The 23,686-nt window shown below is 36.2% G+C and overlaps 1 protein-coding gene across 14 annotated transcripts in view; it reads right to left on the bottom strand.

Moving 5' to 3' along the window:
• Nucleotides 1–23,686, bottom strand: part of PIK3C2G (phosphatidylinositol-4-phosphate 3-kinase catalytic subunit type 2 gamma) — a 483,857-nt gene that overhangs the window by 208,611 nt on the left and 251,560 nt on the right. For all 14 annotated transcript variants that reach the window (XM_047429007.1, XM_017019471.2, XM_047429008.1 and 11 more), the window contains 4 exons: nucleotides 22,053–22,145; nucleotides 20,459–20,588; nucleotides 14,790–14,926; nucleotides 12,746–12,915 (listed from right to left, as the gene is read on the bottom strand). In XM_047429007.1, the coding sequence (XP_047284963.1) occupies nucleotides 12,746–12,915; nucleotides 14,790–14,926; nucleotides 20,459–20,588; nucleotides 22,053–22,145 (530 nt within the window). The remainder of the gene's footprint in view (nucleotides 1–12,745; nucleotides 12,916–14,789; nucleotides 14,927–20,458; nucleotides 20,589–22,052; nucleotides 22,146–23,686) is intronic.

Below are 23,686 nucleotides of genomic sequence, written 5' to 3'. Positions count from 1 at the left end.
AACAAAAAAAGAAAACTTCAGGCCAACATCCCTGATGAACATCAATGCGAAAATCCTCAATAAAATATTGGCAAACCGAATCCAGCAGCGTATCAAAAAGCTTATCCACCACAATCAAGTCAGCTTCATCCCTGGGGTGCAAGGCTGGTTCAACATACGCAAATCAATAAATGTAATCCATCGTCATATAAACAGAATCAATGACAAAAACCACATGGTTATCTCAATAGATGCAGAAAAGGCCTTTGATAAAATTCAACATCCCTTCATGTTAAAAACTCTCAGTAAACTTGGTATTGATGGAACATATCTCAAAATAATAAGAGCTATTTATGACAGACCCACACCCAATATCATACTGAATGGGCAAAAGCTGGAAGCATTCCCTTTGAAAACCAGCACAAGATAAGGAAGCCCTCTTTCACCACTCCTATTCAACATAGTATTGGAAGTTCTGGCCAGGGCAATCAGGCAAGAAAAGAAATAAAGAGTATTCAAATAGGAAGAGAGGAAGTCAAATTGTCTCTGTTTGCAGGCAACATGATTCTATATTTAGAAAACCCCATCATCTCAGCCCCAAAACTCCTTAAGCTGATAAGCAACTTCAGCAAAGTCTCAGGATACAAAATCAATGTGCAAAAATCACAGGCACTCCTATACTTCAACAATAGACAAACAGAGACTCAAATCATGAATGAACTCCCATTCACAACTGCTACAAAGAGAATAAAATACCTAGGAATACAGTTAACAAGGGATGTGAAGGACCTCTTCAAGGAAAACTACAAACTACTGCTCAAGGAAATAAAAGAAGACGCAAACAAATGGAAAAACATCCCATCCTCATGGATAGAAAGAATCAATATCGTATTAATTTCTGCTGTGGCTTAAGTTTTGGTGCTCTTTGTAAGCGTTCCCCAGACTGAGAAACAATGGCAGGGCAGCAAGTTAGGTCTTGTGCAGTATTTTAGTTCTGGTACTCACGATAAGTCTTCCCCAGAATGGAAAGTAACAGCAGACAAATGATTATGTTCTAATGTTAAGTACCAAACCACCAAAGATCACCTGCAAAAGCTGGAAGACATGGCCAACTTCTCAAATGTGTGAGCATCAGTGAAAATATGCAAGGATTGTGAAAACTTAGGGATAGTTGACACTGTCAAAAAAAAAAAAAAGGAAAAGCAAAGCAAAGAAAAAAGAAAAACAACATCAACAAAGTTCCAATAATGGACACAGAAAAATTGAAGTTCTATAAAATGTCTGATAAAGAATTCAGAATAATCTTCTTAAAGGAATTCAGTGAATAACAAAGAAAATGTTTAAAAAATATAAATAAAATTTGGAAAACCATCCAGAAATAAAAAATTTGACAAAGACAGAGGAACAATTTAATGAAAAACCAAATAGGAATCCTAGAAAGAAAAAACCACAATAACTGTACTGAAAAACTCATCAGAAAACCCCATTTAGACTTGTTCACACAAAAGTCAGTGAGCTTCAAGACCAGATATGTGAAATTACCCAATCAGAGAAGGAAAAAAGAAAATAGAGTGAAAAAGACCTATGGGAATTATGGGCCACCATCAAGCAAACTAAGCGCCACATAATAATAATTCCCAAAAAGGAGGAGAGAGAAAAAGGTCTAGGAAGCATATTTAAGGATATAATGTCTGAAAATTTTCCAAATCTATGACATTGTTCAGGTAGAGGAAGCCCAGAGGTCACCAATCAAATTTTAAACTAAGGAGAAATTCCCCAAGACACATTATAATCAAATTATCAAAAATTAAAGACAAAGAAAGAATGCTGAAAGCAGCAAGAGAAGAGAAACGTATTTTTAGCCGAGACTCAATCCAGCTTTCAGTGGGTTTCACGGCAGAAACCCTGCAGGGCAGGAGAAAGCAGGATAACATATTCAAAATGCTGAATGAAAAAAAAAAAAAAACCATCAGTCAATAATACAGTACTCAGCAAAGCTATTCTTAAAACATCATGGAGAGACAAAGACTTTTCTAGAAAAATAAAAACTGAAGGAATTCATTTACACCGGATCTGTCTTACATGAAATGCTAAAAGGAGTTGTTTATTCTCAATGAAAAGAATGCTAACATGTAATAAGAAAACACCTGAATGTATTAAAATCACTGGTAAAAGTGAGTACACAGACAAAGTCAGAATAACGTAATACTATAATTATGATGTGCAAGCCATTTATATATTTAGTATAAAGACTAATTTTTAAGGAAAAAGTTAAATAGAAAATTTAAAAAAATTCCTTGAGGCAAGTTCAAATGGAAACACAACCTACTAGAATCTGTGGGATATAGCAAAAGCAGTTCTATGAGGGAAATTTATATTAATAAATGCATACATCAACAAAATAGAAAGATATTTAAAAAACAACCTAAAGTTATACCTCATGGAACTAGAAAAACAGGAACAAACTAAGCCCCAAATTAGTGGAAGGAAAGAAACAACAAAGATCAGAACAGAAATAAATGAGAGATTAAAACAAATACACAAGATCAATGACGAAGATAGTTGGTTCTTTAAAAATAAATAAATAAAATTCACAAACATTTAGCTAGACTAAGAAAAAAAGAGCAAAGACAAGTAAAATCAAAGATTTTTGAAAGGGACATTACGACTGATATGATAGAAATACAAAGGCTCAGAAGAGACTATTATGGGCAATTATATGCCAACAAACTGGAAAATCCAGCAGAAATAGGTAAATTACTGGATACATATAATATACCAAGATTAAATCATGAAGAAATAGAAAACCTGAACAAACTAATCATGTGTAACAAGACAGAAGTAGTAATAAAGACTCTTTCATCAAAGAAAAGCCCAGAGCCTGATGGTTTTACTGCTGAATTCTATTTGAAAAAGAACTAATACAAATTCTTACCAAACTCTTCCAAAAATAGAAAAAAGCGGAGAATCATTCCAAACTCATCTTATGAGGCCAGCATTACACTAGTTCCAATACCAGAGAAGCACACAACAAAAAAAGAAAACCACAGGTCTGATGAGCATAGATGCAAAAATCCCCAACAAATTACTAGCAAACCAATTCAACAACACATTAAAAAGATCAGTCACCATGATCAAGTGGGATTTATATCAGAGATGCAAGGATGATTCAGCTGCAAATAAATAGGTGTGATACATCACAATAATAGAATCAAGGACACAAATCATATAATTGCTTCAAGAGTTATAGAAAAAGTATTTTATAAAATTTAACATCCTTCATGATAAAAACTCTCAACAAATTAGGTTTAAAAGGAAAATACTCATTATAAAGTCAATATATGACAAACCCACAGCTAACATCATACAAAATGAGGAAAAGTTAAAATTGTTCCTCTAAGATCCGGAACAAGAAGACAAGGATGCCCACTTTAACCACTTTTCTTCAACATAGTGTTGGAAGTCCTACTCAGAGCAATTTGGCAAGAGAAAGAAAAAAAGAACATTCAAATAGGAAAGCAGGAAGTCAAATTTGTCTGTGTTTGCAGATGACATGATCATTTACATAGAAATACTAAAGACTTCACAAAAAATTTGCCATAACAAATAAACAAATTCAATAAAGTTGCAGGATACAAAATCAATACACAAGATTAGTAGCAATTCTATATGCCAGTAGAGAACTACCTGAAAAAGACATCAAAAAGGCACTTCCTTTTACAATGGTCACAAAAAAGTAAAATAGAAATAAGTTTAACCAAGGAGGTAAAAGATCTCTGCGATAAAAACTATTATGCATTAAAGAAAGAATTCAAAGAAAACAATAGAAAGACCCTGTGTTCAGGGATTGAAATAAAATCAATAAAGAAATATTGGACGTAGATTATACTTTAGACCAAATACAAAACATTCCATCCAATAGCAGTAGGATACCCATTCTTCTCAGGTGCACATGAAACATTCTCCAGGATAGATCGTGTAAGGTCACAAAAGAAAACAACAAATTCAAGGTGATTGAAATTATATTAAGTATATTTTTGGATCACAATGCTGTAAAACTAGAAATCAACTACAGGAGAAATGTGGAAAATACTCAACTATGTGGAAATTAAACAACATGCTCATAAACAACCAATGGGTCACAGAAAATATAAAAAGTACATGGAGACAAAAATAAAAACAAAACAGACTAAAGCATATTGCATGCAGCAAAAGCAGTTCCAAGTGGGAAGTTCATAGCAATAAATGTCTATGTCAAAGCAGAAGAAAAATCACAAATAAGCAATGTAACATAACGCCTCAAAAGTCTAGAGACAGAAGAACTACCTTAGTTCAAAGCTGGCAAATGAAAGGAAATAACAAAGACCAGAGCAGAAATTAACGAAATAAGCACTAAAAAACAACAGAAAAAAAATCACACAGTTGTTTTTTGAAAAGATAAACAAAATACAAAATACAAACCGTTTACTAGATGGTTTGCATTTTGTAATAAACTGTTTACAAGATGGTGATACAAACTGCTTACTAGACTAACTAGGAAAAAAAGAAAGACTATTCAAATAAACGAATCAAAAGTGAAAGAGGAGACATTATAACTGATGCCACTGTAATAGAAAGGATCATTAAAAAATGGGATGAGCAATTATATGCCAAAAAATTGGATAACCTTGAAGAATTGGATAAATTCCTAGACACATACAATCTACCAAGACTGAATCAGAAAGCAGCAGAAAATCTGAATAGCCCAATAATGAGTAAGGAGATTGGATCAGTAATAAAAAGTCTCTCATCAAAGAAAAGCCCACAACTGGACAGCTTTACTCCTGAATTCTATCAAACATAAAAAAAAAAGAATACCAATTCTTTTCAAACTCTTCCACAAAAATGAAATAGAAGAAATTCTTTCAAACTCATTTTATAAGACTAGCATTATCTTGATATCAAACCCAGAAAAGCACACTACAAGAAAAGAAAATTACAGGCCAATATTTCTAATTAACGTAGATGCAAAAATACTCAAGAAAATATTATTAGAAAGCTGAATTCCAGAACACATTAAAAGAATCATTCACCATGGTCCAGAGGGATTTACCCTGGGATCCAAGGATGGTTCAACATACCCAGATTAATAAATGTGATACACTAAATTTACAAAATGAAGGATAAAAATAACATCATCATCTCACTGGATGCAGAAAAATCACGTGACAAAATGTAACATACCTTCATGATAAAAACTCTCCACAGATTAAGTATAAAGGATATGTACCTCAGGACAATAAAGGCCATATATGACAAACTCATAGCTAATTTTATTCTCAATGGTGAAAAGTTGAAAGCTTTTCCTCTAAGATCAGAGACAGGACAAGGATGCCCATTCTTACCACTTCTTTTCAGCATAGTACTGGAAGTTGCCAGAGCAGTTAGGCAAGACAAAAAGAAAATTGAAGGCATCCTAATAGGAAAGGAAGAAGTGAAATTGTTTCTATTTGCTGGTGACATGATATATATAGAAAATCCTGAAGACTCCACTAAAGAACTGTTAGAACTGATAAAGGAATTCACTAAAGTTGCAAGACACAAAACAAACATACAAAAATCAGTAGCATTTCTATATACTAATAATGAACTATCTGGAAAAAAATTAAGAAAATCCCATTTATGGGGGCAACAAAAAATCAAATACTTAGGTGCAAATTTAACCAAGGAAGTAAAGGACTTGTATAGTGAACACTGTAAAACACGGATGAAAGAAACTGAAAAAAACTTAAAAGATTTTCTGTGTTCTTGGATTGGAAGAATTAATATTTTTAAAATGTCCGTATTACCCAAAGCAATCTACAGATTCAGTGCAATTCCTATAAAAACCAGATGTCATTTTTTTTTCACACAAATGGACAAACAATCCTTATCATGGAACCACAAAAGATCCCAAGCAGCCAAAACAATCTTGAGCAAAAAGAACAAAGCTAGAGGAATCACACTACCCAACTTCAAGACATATTATAAAGTGATTGTAATCAAAACAGCATGGTCCTGGCATAAAAATAGATACATTGAACAAACGGGAACAAGATAGAAAACCCAGAAATAAACCCATGCATTTATGGTCAACTTGTTTTTGACAAAGGTGCCAAGAACACATGATGGAAAGAAGACAGTCTTTCAATAAATTGTGTTTGATAAACTGGATATTCACATGAAGAATAAAATTAGGAACTTAGCTTACATCAACCACAAAAAATAGCTCAAAATGGAGAAATTACTTAAATATAAGACTTGAAACTATAAAACTGCTAGAAGAAGACATAAGGGGAAATCTCCATGACATTGGTCTCAGCAATTTTTTTTGGATAAGACCCCAAAAGCACATGCAACAAAAGCAAAAATAGACAAATGGAAGGCATCAAACTAAAACACTTCTACTCAGTAAAGGAAACAATTAGCAAACTGAAGAGATGGCCCATAGAATCTGAGAAAATGTTTGCAAACCATTTGTCTGATAATGGGTTAGTATCCAAAATATATAAGAAACTCAAATAACTTAATAGCAAGAAAACAAATAAACATTAAAAAAATAAGCAAAGAACCTAAATAGACATTTCTCAAAAGAAGACATATAAATGGCCAATAAGTACATAAACTGTTAGGCATCACTAATTATCAAGGAAATGCGATTAGAGCCACACTGAGAAACCACCTCACATCTGTTAGAATGGATTTATCAAAAACATGAAAGATTAAGTGTTGGGGAGGGTTTAAAAAAAGGGAAATTATGCAATGTTTGTGGGAACATAAATTAGTACAGCAATTATGGAAAACAGCATCCACTTTCCTCTAGAAACTAAAAATAGAACTACCGTATGACCGAATAATCTCGCTCCTGGGTATTTCTTCAAAAGAATGGAAATCAATATGTTGCAAGAATGTCTTCACTGTCATATTCTTTGCAGTATTGTTCACAATAGCCAAGATATGGAAACAAATAAATGTCCATCAATGGATGAAGAGATTAAGAAAATGTAGTACGTACACACAATGAAATACTATTTAGTTTTAAAAGAGGGGAAATTCTGTCATTTATGACAACATGAATGAATCCAGGGAGCATTATGCTAAGTGAAATAAGCCAACCACAGAAAAAATCACATGATCTCACATACATGTGAAATCTAATAAAGTTTAATTTGTAGGAGTAGAATGGTGATTATCAGAGTCTTAGGGAGTGAGGAGTTGGGGGGAATGGGAGCTATTGATCAAAGAGTATAAAGTTTCAGATAGACAGTAGGAATAGACTTTTAGATCTATTGTCCATCAGTTGACTACAGTCAATAGTAATGTATTATAAATGTAAAAATAATAGAGTAAATTTCAAATGTCTCACCATAAAAAAGTGATAGGTAAGCAAGGTGGTGGCTGTGTTAACGAGTTTGATTTCGTCACATTGTATCCCATAAATGCAAACAACTATGATCTGTCAATCATAAATAACATAAATAATAACTTTTTCAAAAATAAAAATAAAAACAAAACAAAAACACATAGTCTGTCTCCAGTGTACCTGACCTTAAACACTGGTCATATTGCCCTTTAAAATTATCTAGAAAGAAAGCTACAAAAAACACTTAATGCAAGGCTAGCATCAGCAAAGCGAAAGGCCATATAGAATATGAAAACACTGTCTAGTCTAAAAAATAAAAGTATGAAATAAAGAGCTAGGAGAGCAACAAACATCAGTAATAAATGTTTTTCTCAATTTCTCCTGCTTTATGAGAGCATGTAATTATCAAGAAATTATTGAGTTGAAATTTTGAGTTTATTACTACAGTGAAATCTTTTATGTAATGAAAAATCACTCTGTAGAAATCATTGTTACAGTGGAATTGAGTGCAAAATTGTGGATGCACAATTTGTTGGCCACTTTAATTTGTATCGGTGAAAGAAAATTAAAAAATGAAGATAGGTCGGGCACTGTGGCACATGCCTATAATTCCAGCATTTTGGGCCGAGGTCCAAATTGTTTGAGCCTAGGAGTTGAAGACCAGCCTGGGCAACATGGTGAGACCCTATCTCTACAAAACAATAAAAAAGTTAGCTGGGTTTGGTGGTGCATGCCTCTGGTCCCAGCTACTTGGGAGGCTGAGGTGGGAGGATCGCCTGAGTCCAGGGAGGTAAAGGCTGCAGTGAGCCATGATTGTGCCACTGCACTCCAGCCTTGGTGACAGAGTGAGACCATGTCCCCCAAAAAAGAAGATAATAATTAGGCAATAGTTCAAAAGAAAAACCAACTGGTTTCAGAGAGCTGGAGAAATTCCTTATTGTTTCCATTATAAAGATTAGCCAAATTTTCCCCAGAATCATTAAGTAATACCTCAGTTGTTCTTTGATTTAATCTGATGGTATAAATTCTCTTTATCTAGTCTCACAGCTAAAGCCAATAAGAAGGGATCATTTGTTTATATGCAGGATGTGAAATCCTTCATAATCATAACTAAGATTTAATTTTTCTCTCTTAGAAGTTTGAAAGTTTATGGGAGCCTCAGAGTTGGTCTGAGTGTCGAAATAGAATTTCCAGATTCCTGGAGAACTGAATTCAGAGGAATTGTTCAGGGACACCTGAGCATAGATTCCAAATGAGAGAGTGGCTTTGCTGACTCAATTTAATTTAAGAGCCAGGAGAGCTCAATGTCTGTAACATATCCTAAAGAGAGTAACACAGATGCTTAGTGTGAGATGTTCCGGAATGGTGATGTAAGCATGAGTATAAAGGGCAGCAGCCCAGTGAGAAATGTTTTTTTCTCAAGATCCTTCTTATATCACCTCTTTGCTGTGTTAGTTAATACACAATGAATTAGTTAATATATGTTAACAATATTTTGTAACTGGGTGCAGTGGCTCACGCCTGTAATCTCAGCACTTTGAGAGGCCGAGGCGGGCGAATTGCCTGAGGTCGGGAGTTCGAGACCAGTCTGGCCAACAGAGTGAAACCCTGTCTCTACTAAAATACAAAAAAAATTAGCCAGGCGTGGTGGCATGTAATTACAGCTACTCAGGAGGCTGAGGCAGGGGAATTGCTTGAACCAGGGAGGTGGAGATTTCAGTGAGCTGAGATTGTGCCACTGCACTCCAGCCTCGGTGACAGAGCGAGACTCCATCTCAAAAAATAAATAAATAAAAATAAAAAAGCAATAATAATAATAATAATATTGTGTAAACCATAAAAAGTTATACAAATGCTTTTCCCTTCCATGTTTTTAAGAAATAGACAATAGAAGAAACACGTGTATCTGTACATATAAACTCTATGCTTCCAGTGGGTGCAGCATTTTAATTAAAGACTATGACCTAGGGTTATTGTTGTTTGGTATTGGAGCATTTTATGATCTTGTCAGACTATGAGACATTATGACAGTCCTAGGGCATGATTTATAAATCTGGTTTTGTATATTATGGGGGGTGTTATTAAACTCATTTATGTCTAGTGTTCCATTACTGGAACGCTAAGCTTGTAGGAGTTATTTATATCCTACTGCTCAAGGTCATTGCTAAGGTCTGATTTTTCACAAAAAAAATTTGCAACCTCCAGCATAAGTGGGTTAATACATCTGAGTATGTGTACAGAAACTAGGTGTGGGCTAGGTTTCTCTCTACAAAGGGGGTCCATAACATAATAAATGTGGGACAAATAAGCACTTTCATTTATCCTAGGGGAATACAAAGGTCCTACTTATAGGACCTATAAGACTTGTAAAAGGACTTTTGTGTACCTAAAAAACAATAAGAACAAACAATGAACCTAGTATGGAAGAAGTTAGCTGTCCTAGAAAACAACGTTCTGTGAATTCCAGAAACTGAAAGAGCTTAGGAGGAGAAATATTAGATGCTTCCTACAATTCAAAAGATAGTGTAATAGGTATGGTTCAGTTTTACCATTAAACAAACTTAGAGCAAATGTATCAGCATTGAGAAAGTAATCCAAGGAGACACTGCCAATGAGCCTTATGGGAGCCACCAGCGGACATAAAATCTTAGAAACAATAATCCATATGGCTCATGGAGCTGCAGTTGGCCTCCTTAGCTGGTGGTTAATAACTAATATTCTCAAAGGAAGACAGTGGCAACTTCATTTTCATTCATCCTATCAATAATTATTGAATGGTTGATGATTGGTTTATTGGCTGCTTAATTCAGCAGAAAATATTAAGAACCGATTATGAGTGTGGCTGTATGCTGGGCACATTTTTAATTGACCTATGATACTGCTTAAGAAAGGTTTAAAATTGCCAAACTCTAGAAGTAGCAGTAGCTGCTGTAGCATCAACAAGCAGCTAAACTGGAGCTTGATATTCTCTACAGACCGTGGTATATGAACTTACCATACTGTTTTAATAATCTTTTCTTTACTTTTTTATGTCTGCCAACTGGAACTTTTTCTGTAGAGCTGAAATATCTTTTTTCATTTTAAACCACTCACATGAACAATACAGAAGCCAGTGCAATAAATGAATAAGGGTACTCCAAATTGCCAGTGTACAAAACATCAAAATTAAAAAAAAAGATGTCCAAACTGAATCTTTGAATTTTTAGAAAAAGGTAGATAGAGTTCAGGAAAAAACTGTTACATGAATAAATTTTATATACACTCAAGTATGTTAATTGACATTTGTCCCTCATAAGCTAGGTATCCCTCCTCTATGACATTCTCATGGTCTGTACATTTCTCTATCTCTGCCCTTATAACATTTTATAATAATCATTTATGTGTCTGTATTCACAGTACTTGAAAGAGTATCCCTAACTTTCATGGTAAATGCATATTAATTATCTTTGTATCTCCAATGTTTATCACAGTCCTTGGCACACAGACCATTCCCAGTGGACATTTAAGAAGCGAATGAAGGCCAGGCACGGTGGCTCACACCTCTAATCCCCGCACTTTGGGAGGCCGAGGCAGGAGATCACTTGAGGCCAGGAGTTCGAGACCAGCCTGGCCAACATGGCGAAACCCCACCTCTACTAAAAATACAAATATTAGCCAGGCATGGTGGCACACTCCTGTAGTCCCAGCTACTCCGGAGGCTGAGGCAGGAGAATCGCTTGAACCCAGGAGGTAGAGGTTGCAGTCATCCAAGATCATGCCACTGCACTCTAGCCTGGGCGACAGAATGAGACTCCATCTCAAAAAAAAAAAAGTAAAAGAAAAAGAAGTGAATGAATATGTGGTAAATTTTTCGAGGCTGTTTATTAAAGAAAGCAATGTATTGAGAGTAACAGAAAGTAAAATAATCCATTTGTATATATCATGTAGTTTATGTTGGCATTTTAATGCCAGGTTATGGCCATCTGGTATAAATTCGATCACATTATCTTGTAAGAAATATTATTATTTCTTATATTGAGGGGCTGTTCTCAGGCGAAAGTGACTAATTAGTCTTTGGAATGGCTTGATCCTATTTCTACCTTCATATAAAATATATTTTTAAAGACTTTTAGTGTTCAACTTCTGATTTCCTTACTTTCGGCTTAAAGAAAATGAAACAAAACCTATTCATCTATCAGTATTCCTTATTTCAGTAAATAATATAATTATTCAGTCATTTGCTAAGATAAAACAATCTAGGCATCATCCTTGAATGTTTTCTTCTCTGACCTTCTGTGCCCCTCCTCCAGTTCATTAATCACAGCCAACGTCCAATCAATTAGCAGATCCTGTGGCTCTGTCTTCAAAATATATTCTGAATCTGTCGGTTTTTACTACTTCTACCTTTACTGGTCTCACTTTATTGCAGTAGTCTCTTCACTGGTCTCCATTACACAAGGTATCAAAGAAAGCTTTTGAAAACCACTAAAATTGAAAAGTTTCTCCTGAACTTAAAAAATAAAAGCCACACTCTATATGCCCTCTGTGCCCTACCTGATTGGGCCTCCACCAAACTCTTCACCCTTACCTCCTACTGCCCGCCCCTCTCCATCCCATCTCCAGACTCCAGGTCTTCTTGTCACTGGAACATGCCATGCTCATTTCTGTGCTCACTGCTATTGTATGTGCTGTTGTTTCTTCCTGGAATTCTCTTCTCATGGATCTCCATGAGGTGGTCATAAGGACACAGCTCTTTGTCATGTCTTCCGAGATGCCTCTTTAAAATAGTATCCCCACTCCAGTTACTTTCTATTCCATTTCTCTGCCTTAGTTTTCTAAAATAACTTCTCATTTTCTCAAGTCATTTCTTAGCTTGTAAACTTGTTTAATGTCTGTCACCCCTACTAGAAAGAGATCAGGGTTTGTGTCTGTCTTGTTTACTGTTATATCCTTGAATAGTAGGTATTCCCTAAATATCTGTGGAATGATGTATGGCTAGTTCAGTGTGGGAAGTAAGCTAGTATTAATATGTGTAGACCAGTGATGATTTGCTATGAGCAATATAGCAGATGTTTTGAGATCATCAATTCATACCTCATTGTCCATTCAAGGTTCATAAGGAAACAAACAATATTACTTCAAATGACAGACTAAAACAGGATTAGCTGCTTCTCATGGGGGAAGACCAGTTTAGTCTACTACCAATTTGAGGAAATCAAATTTGTTGCATTAAAAATCTACTTTAAAACTTTTCTTCAATCTTATTAGATATATTATCATGTTTATATTACCTGGGGGGATTTGAGAGATGGGAGCAAGTCATCAGCAGGGTTTCTATGCAATTACATGTTATACATATTGCTTAGGACACTGCTTAATTACTGTAATAAACATTTGTGCACTGACCTTTTTATCCCTCCAAATGTTTGTGCATGACCTAAGAATTTTCCAAAGTCAATATGAAACATGTGGCCCGACTTTGTCAGCATGATATTATCATTGTGACGGTCACATACTCCCAGGATGAATGTTACCACACACCAGCCAGCACAGGAGTAGAAAAAGTTCCTCAAGGCCTAATTCATTGAAAAACAATCATGCAAAAATAACAACAAAAAATGAGCAAATGCATTAGCATCAGAGGTAATCATAAAAAGTAAATGATAAGCAAAATTACATAATCAGGAAAAATTTCTACATCTCAGTGGACAGGAGGGTACAGTTAAGCAGCTGATTCTTGATCTGCTACAGAAGAATATGAAACAACTGTTCTTTAGCCTAATAGATGAATGTTTTCACTGAAACTGCGGAAAATATTTCTTTCATTCAGATGGAGCTAATTTTCATTGGTTCACTAGAGAGGTTTCCTAGTGTCATTTTTTGATACCTCAAATATACAATATTGAATGATTTTTTTTCAAAGTAAAAGGAGGAACAATACGCCCCAATATTGCCTATTCCCAGAGGAATTTTAAAATATCAATGGTTGAATATTTGAAATTTTGGAATACAGAGAAAGCTATACTGAGAAATCTGTAACATTTTATGTGTATTTTTACAAATAGGTCATCAATGTAGTTGATGTCTGAAGCTGTTTGGTATAGTACATATATATCAGTGAATGCCTGTGTGGGTGGAAGCAGATTATCATTAAGTCAATTTGTGTTTATGTTTCTCTAATGAGCAGATGTTTCTTTCCAAAAATACACTTTGCGTCCAAAATGATCTCCTGGGTATACATCATTTCATCAACTTGGTGGTGTAACCAGGAATGACTGGTTGGGATAAGGTTATGGGTCTCCTAGCATGGAGGGGCTGCCTTGATGTAGTGAAGGCTAGGTCACCAGGCTACATGCTAGGGTGCCTTAGTTCTAGGTTTCCTACATGCCTAAGCAAGTCACTTAATTTGTCAATCCAAATGTTCTTCACTTAGAAAGTGAAAATAATAAAACATATCCTTCAAATGGTGGTTGTGAAGAGCGATGTATTTGGAAATAACGTAACCACAAGGATTAATGCAAAACTGAAGTTATAATTTTGGGAACAGCTAAAAAGTAGACTTCAAGGTAATTTTATCTAATTATTTATTATTTGGCCTGTAAAGCTTGTATTTTGCTCCAACACAATGTTATGGAAGTGTGGAATAGATGAACTCTGGGGTCTATTTTATCATGGCCTTTTTATCATAGGTAGGGTGACCAATCATCCCAGTTTACCCAGGTTTGAGGAATTTCTCAAAATAAGGGGATTTCAGTGCACAGGATAGTACCAAGCAAATCTAATGGTGCATTTTTTGCATGAATTAGCATTTAGGTGCTCCTTCCTCTGGGTGGACCCAGCTGTACTAGATCATAGCTTGGCAAGTGGACCAAGGACTGGTTCTAGCCACACTCATCTCCTTAGCCAAGATCCCTAATACAGGGCAGAACCTGCACAACTGTACACTGCAAGCCAGATACCAGAATGAAGTAAACATTGAGAAAAAGTGTTTGCAGTCAAATAAAACAGTACATTTGGTAAAATTATGACATACATAAACTCTGTTTTGCATTTTGCAAACCATTAAGAAAATGGGAGACGAAAAAGTGGGGAATGGCAGAAGAAATGTATTGCAAAGAAAAGAAGGGATATTTATAGAAGTTGTAGATTACTTAAATGAGGTAATTTCAAGGGTTATTGTTTCTGGTGTAAGATTGATGTCAGGATGGCAGCTGAGCAAAAAAAAATCTTTATTGATAACCAGGAATTTCACCCAGAAACTAAATAAAATGCAGAAACTTTTATGTAGTTAATATATCATTTAAACTGGGCTGATTAATTAATTACTGGGCTGATTGAATTAGAACTCAAAGTGCACTTAATTTACTTTTCTACAAATCAGAATATCTAATGAACCAGAGCATATTCTTATTTAAGTACATTATTTAAAATGATCTGCAACAGGACAAACCTTTTCATAATCTGCCTTTAAGTGGTTGTGCTGACTGAACCACTTTTTAATTGTATTTTCTTTCAATGGTCCTATCAGTCCAGAATGGCGATGAATCTTTGCTAGGGTCACAGCATCAGGTACCATCTGCACCAATCCTGGTAGAGAAAAAAAAGATTACAGAGACAATTCCTTCATCACAAGATGAGGGAGCCTTAGGAAATATAACAACAATAGCTTCCAGCACTACTGGATTACCCCTTTCCTTTTCAAATCTTCTTTTCTGGAGGAGGCTTATCTAGATGCATCTCTTTCTAATTCTTCCCAAAATCCTGGAGAACAATGAGGCTACTTGTGTTTGGATCGGATTAATCAGAAGCAGCTTTAATATTTTTTCTAGAGCTATGGTAGCAAGCCAATGTTGATGATGAACAGAGACCCCACTGAGTAGTGAATTAATTATCACATGGCTGGTGCACTCATTTACAGTTTAAGGGAGGACATTTAAGCTTGGATAACAAATATATTTACAATTTAAGGGAGCCAAATACACTCTCCATAACAAACATTGCACATATATTATAAAAATCAATGTTCGGGTTAAAAAAAGCTTCACAGTTAAATGTTACATTTGCGGGAGTGAACAGAATAACTCAGCAGTGAACATCTAGAGAGCCACCTGCTCCTTCCTTCTCAGTCAACATTAAAGAGAAACTACAATAGTAATTTTTTTTAAAGGGAGCATATATTGATTGAACTTCAATAGGAACTTTGCTCCGCTGGCCATATATCCATCAAGGCTTTCTTTTATTGTGCTCGTAAGGTTATTGGAATGTAAATATTTGCAAACCTTCTGATTTTCATACTGTACAGAACAGCAATTTAGATCCAGTACTTAAAGCTCTCTCAGGGATAATGTCTACAAAACAACCCGCAAAGTACAGTATTATAAATAAAGTCGTTAAAATAAATTAAAGTCTAGAGTTTCTGATTTCCATAGTCTCGACAATTGCAGGAGTTGCAAACTCAAATTCCCAGAGAGACCAGGGACACAAATATAACTATATGAACAGAGAGATGGTTGAGTTTTTTAAATTGACCATTTAATGATCTACCTAAAAAGCATTCAAATTAAACAACATTAAAGTAGATTATGGTGGTGATAAACAAAAGGCTTATCTGTGCTGAATTTGGTCAGTTACAGCTAGTTTGCAGCCTTAATTTCTCTTAATATCTGATAGTCCTGTTATGATCATTGGGCATCTACATTTGTGGATCAGAAGGAAATTTCACATCCCAGAGACAGGTCCTGGGAATATCCATAGTATCAAGACACTTCTCCCTTCTCTCCTAATAGTATTTGGCTGTTGCCCAGGTTTTCTCATGTGTGTTAAGGGAGATAGCAGATTTAAAACATTTTATGTCAGTAGGTGATGCTTTTTAATCCTGAAAATTTCCCTCCTCATTTTTTCAGTTCCTCTATTTAATACTTCCTGAAGAAAGTCACTTTCTACATGGTTGCTGAGTGTTTCAATGCCATCTTACCTTTGACCATGCCCAAAATTAGGACTTAGATGATTCCACCTTTTTGGATACTTTGCTGCAGCAATGTCAATTGCTTTTCCAACTACGTTGATCTAGGGAGTTAATGTTTGCTAAATCCCAAGACACTGATCACAAGCCTTGAATTGCTGACTATCCAGAAAACCTTGTATCTAATTTATAGTAATCATGGTGGCTAAATTCTGCTCATTAATTGAAATCATAAATTACATTTTATACATTTTAAGCTAGTATATATCATACACTATTTAAATTCTTCGAACATAATTCTGTGTACATAGAGTAATATGTGTGGTTTCACTCTTATAGTCCTTTAATGCAATATTTCTCAAATTTTAATGCAACAAATAACTCTGTTGTATGGTTTAGCTGTGTCCCCAGTCAAATCTCATCTCAATTTATAATCCCCATAATCCCCACGTGTGGAAGGAGGGACCTGGTGGGAGGTGATCAGATCATGTGGACAGTTTTCCCCCATGCTGTTCTCATGATAGTGAGTGAGTTCTCACAAGATTTGATGGTTTTATTAATGTTTAGCAGGTACCCCATTCTCCCCCTTTTTTTCCTGCCACCTTGTGAAAAAGGCCCTTGCTTCCGCTTCACCTTCCGCCATGAATATAAGTTTCCTGAGGCCTCCCCAGCCATGTGGAACTGTGAGCCATTTAACCTCTTTCCTTTATTAATTACCCAGTCCAGGTGCGTCCGGAATTGCTGGGTTCCTGGTCTCACTGACTTCAAGAATGAAGCCGCGGACCTTCGCGGTGAGTGTTACAGCTCTTAAGGTGGCGCGTCTGGAGTTTGTTCTTTCTGATGTTCGGATGTGTTCGGAGTTTCTTCCTTCTGGTGGGTTCGTGGTCTCGCTGGCTCAGGAGTGAAGCTGCGGACCTACGCGGTGAGTGTTACAGCTCTTAAGGCGGTGTGTCTGGAGTTGTTCGTTCCTCCCGGTGGGTTCGTGGTCCCGCTGGTTTCAGGAGTGAAGCTACAGACCTTCGCGGTGAGGGTTGCAGCTCATAAAGGCAGTGTGGACCCAAAGAGTGAGCAGCAGCAGGATTTATTGCAAAGAGCGAGAGAACAAAGCTTCCACAGTGTGGAAGGGGACCTGAGTGGGTTGCCACTGCTGGCTTGGGCAGCCTGCTTTTATTCTTTTATCTGGCTCCACCCACATCCTGCTGATTGGTAGAGCCGAGTGGTCTGTTTTGACACGGCGCTGATTGGTGCATTTACAATCCCTGAGGTAGAGGTAAAGGTTCACGTCCCTACCAGACTCAGGAGCCCAGCTGGCGTCACCCAGTGGATCTCGCATTGGGGCTGCAGGTGGAGCTGCCTGCCAGTCCTGCGCCGTGCGCCCACACTCCTCAGCCCTTAGGTGGTCGATGGGACTGGGCGCCGTGGAGCAGGGGGCCGCGCTCGTAGGGGAGGCTCGGCTGCACAGGAGCACATGGAGGCTTGGGGAGGCTCAGGCATGGCTGGCTGCAGGTCCCGAGCCTTGCCCCGCGGGAAGGCAGCTAAGGCCCGGCGAGAAATCCAGCGCAGCGCTGGTGGGCCGGCACTGCTGGGGGACCCAGCACACCCTCCGCCGCCGCTGGCCAAGGTGCTAAGCTCCTCATTGCCCGGGCCGGCAGGGCCGGCCGGCCGCTCCGAGTGCGGGGCCCGCCAAGCCCACGCCCACCTGGAACTCCAGCCGGCCGGCAAGCACTGGGCGCAGCCCGGTTCCCGGCCGCGCCTCTCCCTCCATAACTCCCCGCAAGCTGAGGGAGCCAGCTCCGGCCTTGGCCAGCCCAGAAAGGGGCTCCCACACAGCAGCGGCCGGCTGAAGGGCTCCTCAAGTGCCGCCAAAGTGGGAGCCCAGGCAGAGGAGGCGCCGAGAGCGAGCGAGGGCTGTGAGGACTGCCAGCACGCTGTCACCTCTCACAGGTATTTATAGCAGTGTGAAAACGCACTAATATGTTTGGAGATTTTGTTAAAATGTTCTAATTGAGTATGGCAGGCGTGCGGCCTGAGATTCTGCATTTCTAACAAGTTCCTAGGTGATGTCAGTGCTGTGGGTCTGTGGTTCACACTTTAAGTAGCAAGGCTCTTAGGGATAAAATTACCCAAGGTGGTGTTGTATGAGGCGGTGTCTTTCAGACAAGGGTGCATAAGAAACACCTGAGCAGCGTTTTGCAATCAACCTTTGAGCCTCTCCTCCACCTCCGGGGAAGTCTGATTTAGTGCGCTTGGGTTGGGGGTAGGTTGTATCTACTCTTTCCATCCCCCTATGTAATTTTTATGTTCATCAAAGTTGGGGGACCAATGATAAAATAAATCCTGAAGAATTTTTATTTGCCCTGAAAATTTCTCTCAGAACTCCTAGGACATTACATACAAAGTGACCATGAGAATGATACTCAGCAATAATGTTGATAAAGTCATGGAAACTTCGTGGAAACTGGAGTTTACTCTCCTCAAGGGCACAACTCTATTTAGCTCATTTTAGCATGCATTTCCCATCTCACGTTGTGACATTTCTTGAGAAAAGTAGGTATTCAGTAAGCCTTGGAACCTGATTAAAAATGCAACCTAATCTTCTAAAAATGATATTTGTTTTAATGATCTCTATTTTTCTTGAAGAATTATTTTGTCAGTATAATGCCCTCTGAAATCTTACAGCTATTGAAGGTTGTTGTTGGTAGACAGAGAAGAAAAATAACTTTTGTCTTGCGACATCTACAACTTTGGATAAGTCTATAGTTATTTCTGCTGAATTATTTTATTAACTAAAAGATTCAGCCTTGGTTACATTCCATGATTATAAATAGAAATGAGATGAAATTTAAAAATTCCACTGGGATCAGTAATTTATTCAATATCTGGAGAAAAGGTGATTCATGTAACATCAAAGATCTCAGCTTGGATTATGTAGCATTATTCTATTTCAGCATTTTAGGATAGGAAAGCATTAGGTCACTTACGTGAGAAAAAGTAGGGTAAGATGCAAGGAATAACAATCTCATGGTAGCAAGGATAAATGACTGTTGTAGGAACTAGAGATTTAGAAAGTATTTAGAGTGGGACACTTGGCATGGAAGTAGGAGCCCTGTTATCAGAATCAAATCAATTGGCTAGTACGACTGTAATGCAGTCATTGTAAGGTATTAAGTGGCGAGTGAATTTGGAGGTGTTTTCATACTTAGCATCTAAAATCTCAACTGTTGACTGGGGTATTGAGCCTGCTGGTGGGACCTCAGGCAGTGAGGATCCATGGCATGACAGTTCTCTTGTGATGACAGGTTTAAATTGTAGCTCTGCTTGAATTAAAAAAAAAAAAATGACTACATGGTCTAGATCCCCTCTCCAGTTCTATGATTTCATCCCTTTGTTTATGCACATGTATGTGCTATAATTCATACCAATTAATTTAATAAAATTCTAAGTGGCAATGGTTATATGTAAAAAAATTTATAAGATATCTTAGATATTGTTGTCTCTTTAATTTGGCATTATTGTAATTAAGTGCAATTCTACCTCTGATGTTTTAGTAATAATTTGGGTGGTCTATTGACATTACTTTCACTGAAAATGTGCATAAGTATAATTATGTTTTCATATTGATTTCTTGGCTTTTATAAAGGAAAAGAAATGCTGACATATGTTCAATATTTACATGTGTGGCCAACATTGACTGTTGATATTTTATCTACTCAAAAGTATTTTAGAAATTAAATTAAGGTTTATAATGTGTTTAGGATTTCCAGAACTCCTTTCAGCACTTGAAAATGTGTAGATTTTGTGTTAATAAGTAACAATTGTATTCTTTTAAAAATGAGTAGGCTTTATATAAGAAAATGAGAAAAATAACAGTAAGTTATTAATGAAACTCACTCTTAAAGACACATAAAATAAAATCACAGTTAACATTTGTAATGTGAAGGTCCTAATTAATACCTAAAAGCATATTATGCTTTATATAAATTCTGTTGGCTTATCATTTTTGAAAATAATTCTTTAAAAAAAGAAGAATGTGTATAGTTCTTTGGATTTTCAAACTTGTAGTTTAAAACGAAAGCTGGAGAAAGTTTCGTAGCCTATTACTAGTGAATGTGTGAAATAAATAATGTGAGCCAGCGCACTTTCTAATCTATACTGACCTTGGTCTTTTCCTGTGGATAGACATCTATAAATGATCATTTGCATATCCAAGCCTTCCTGCAGCCAAATATTGTCCATCACTTGAATAAGCTGCAGAACAAGCATATCCTGACGAAGATCATCTCCAGCCTGTTAAAAACAAAATTATAGACCCTGGGTTTTTCCTTGAATTTGTTAATTAAAAGCAGTCAAATACAGTACATGTCACTTTTCTCCTTGGATACATTTCTAGCCTGACTTAGAGTGGTTTTAATGGTTTTGTTAGCACTAAAATTACCTTGTGTTTCTGATAAAAAAAATTTTTAAATGAGAACTTCCTTTTAAATAATTACAGAAGCTTCAACCATCAAATTAGAGGTGCTGCTTGGAATGTTGTTCCTTGATAATAATTTTCAATTTATTATCCACGTGTGATTTCTCAGATTCAAAGTCTGGCAAAGACAGGCTGGATGAATGTTTATTCAAATTTCAAACTTAGCCAAGAGAGATCTCTTTCTAAGTGAAACATTATTTGGTATGTCATAAATTTATGCACCGATATGCAGTTAGAATACCAAGAGCTTCTTGACTGGGAGTATAAATAGCATCCATATGATTGATTAGACTTTAAATCAGTGATTTCTCAAATTATTTTGAAGATAGTTAAAAGGTTTTCAGAGAAAATGATTTTTGATAATAAGAAATGATAAAGTGGTGATAGTCATGTATTGGTTAAGGAGATTGCATATGTCCAAAGGGGAAGGATAGTTCTATCCTTTTAAACAAATAAGAAATTTCGTTTTGAAAACACTTTCTAAATTATACACGGAAAATCCTGCCAAGATAAGATTTTGTGTTTTCTTTTTTCCCCTTCATGAAAAGTACAGCATTGTGGGACCACTAACTCTTGAGGTGACATGACAAAGCAAAAGTCTGGGCACACTACTCATTATCCTCCAAAATAGACAGTGAGAATTCACCAAAGATTCACTCTGAGACCTTGTTGCACGGGCTTGGCTGAATAATTGGCCAAATAAACTGGAAGACGGGCATATTCTTACTTTTTACCCTAATCTCCCTCTCTGTTCCCTCTTTCCTACGTGCTTATAAACCTGTTACTACCTTTTCTCTGTTTTTCCAGTGGGATTAATGATGAAGACTGAAATGACCCATATTTACTTTTTTATTAAAAAAAACTCAAATTACTAAAATGAACAAGTGCTAGCAGGCAAGAATTTAATGTTAAATTAACTTATGTCATTTCAGTTCCAGTTAATTTTGATCCCAATTTAGTATCTAGACCAAAATAAAACTTTCCTCACATTCAACTTTATCTGCCACTTAAAAGCAATCATATCACTTCATTTACTGAATTATATTCTCTTAGGTTTTGCACTGAAGGCTCCCTGGCTTTGAGCCAGTAATGTTTGATTTATTGCCAATTGGAGTTTGGCACATACTATATATAATCCTGTAAAAAGGCAGACTCTAAAATAACTGAAAAACCTATGTGTTGTTGCTGGAGGAAAATAGCCACAACAATTTCTTTTTGTGAGTAATAAATCGATAGTTCTGTGTATGGAATCAATTCATGTTTTAAGAGCGCTACCATACCTTAAAAATAATGCTGATGTTTTTGCCCATCGGATTAGCATTGATGAAAGTAATCTTCAATGGCAAAGCATTAGATGTAAAATATGAACATGCCTATAGGAAAAGAAAAAGGGAAAACTAGTGAGCAAAATAAATCAGACCCCAATCCCCAAAAAGCAAACCTTTTCCCCAAAATCATAGCCCCTTGCAGACTTTGTTGTATGAACAAATGTAACACATATGAATAATTTTTATACTTTGGAACACAGAAACATACAAATTTTAAAAAATTTAGTCCATCAACTGGAGCCTTTACTTTGAAACCAAGAAGCCAGCTTTTTGACAGATTACAGATCTTCAACCACGTTTTTTCCTCAGTGAACAGTAGTGATATGTTTGAGGTTTAAATGAACTAAGCAGTGTATGAATATTGGCTTATGCTAGCTGGTTAGTAGATAAAAGTTAAAATTTTATTTTAAAAACTTTATTTCCCTTCCATTATTTCTACCTTGCAGAATACTTTAAGGAAAAATAGATAGAAAGTTAAGAAAGGCTTGAGTTCAAATCTAAGCTTTATAACTAATTTGCTGTAAAGTGGAGAAAGTAACCTCTCCCTCATACATCTTTGTGATAGATTCAGGAACTAACGGATATAAGATACCTTTTACAATGCCTGACACTAATCAGGTACTTTGAAAAATCCTTACATTTTTCTTTATCTTTTAGTTAATGAACATTTTCTTGTTTTTTATAAATAGCAGTACAACATATATTTTGTCTTCTCATTTCCAGTAATTACACCTTCCATTTGCATTTTCAGCTTTGTGATGTTGACTACTTTTCACTCTACTTTCCTAGTTGCCTGTTTTCCTCTTATTTTCTTACAATTAAGCATTGAAAAGCTGTATGTCTTTAGGCTATTAGAGAGTTCATGATGGCATTGAAGACTTCATTCAATATAAAGAAAGGAAAAAGACTCTATGCTTTCAATTTATCAACTTAGTAAAATATGACATCAATGCATGTTGAAAGATCAGCTTGAACAACGTTATCTACAAGAAGTCTGAAATTAGAAGTTGAGAGAAAATATCTATTTCTTAACTGACCTATCAACACAAATCTAACCCAATATCTTAACTAAACACAAACCCTTGCTTACTGAATCATAAGCAAGAGTTTAAGAGATGGAAAATAGATATTTTCTACTTTCAATTTGAAAAATCAAATTGATTCAGTAAGCAAGGGATTGTTTAGTTAGAAATTGGGTTAGATTTGTGTTGATAGGTCAGTTAAGAAATAGATATTTTATAGATGTAGATGTTTTATCTAGAAACAAAAATAGATGTTTTATAGTTTTATGGGTGAGGATGCTTGTTAAGCAATGAAATTCTGTTGCAAAAGTCAGCTAATTAGGGATCACATGACCATATATCATGGTATTGAATTAGCAAATTCTGTATGAGGCAAGAAATGAGTGTAGATCAGTGGTTTTTAAATTCTGCTCATTGAATATGTGGGGAATCTCTTTGAGTTATCCCAAGTTCAGGGAGGCTGAAGGCAAGGCTTAGCCTATCTTTTTAACTACCACCCAGAGACATTCTGCTTTTATTGTTTCACATCTTGGTTTTCATGTGCGGTATATATTTGAGTGATTG

This window comes from Homo sapiens, chromosome 12, assembly GCF_000001405.40.
Source record: "Homo sapiens chromosome 12, GRCh38.p14 Primary Assembly".
NCBI classification, from domain to species: Eukaryota; Metazoa; Chordata; class Mammalia; order Primates; family Hominidae; genus Homo; species Homo sapiens.
This window is presented reverse-complemented; position numbering and strand designations above follow the sequence as displayed.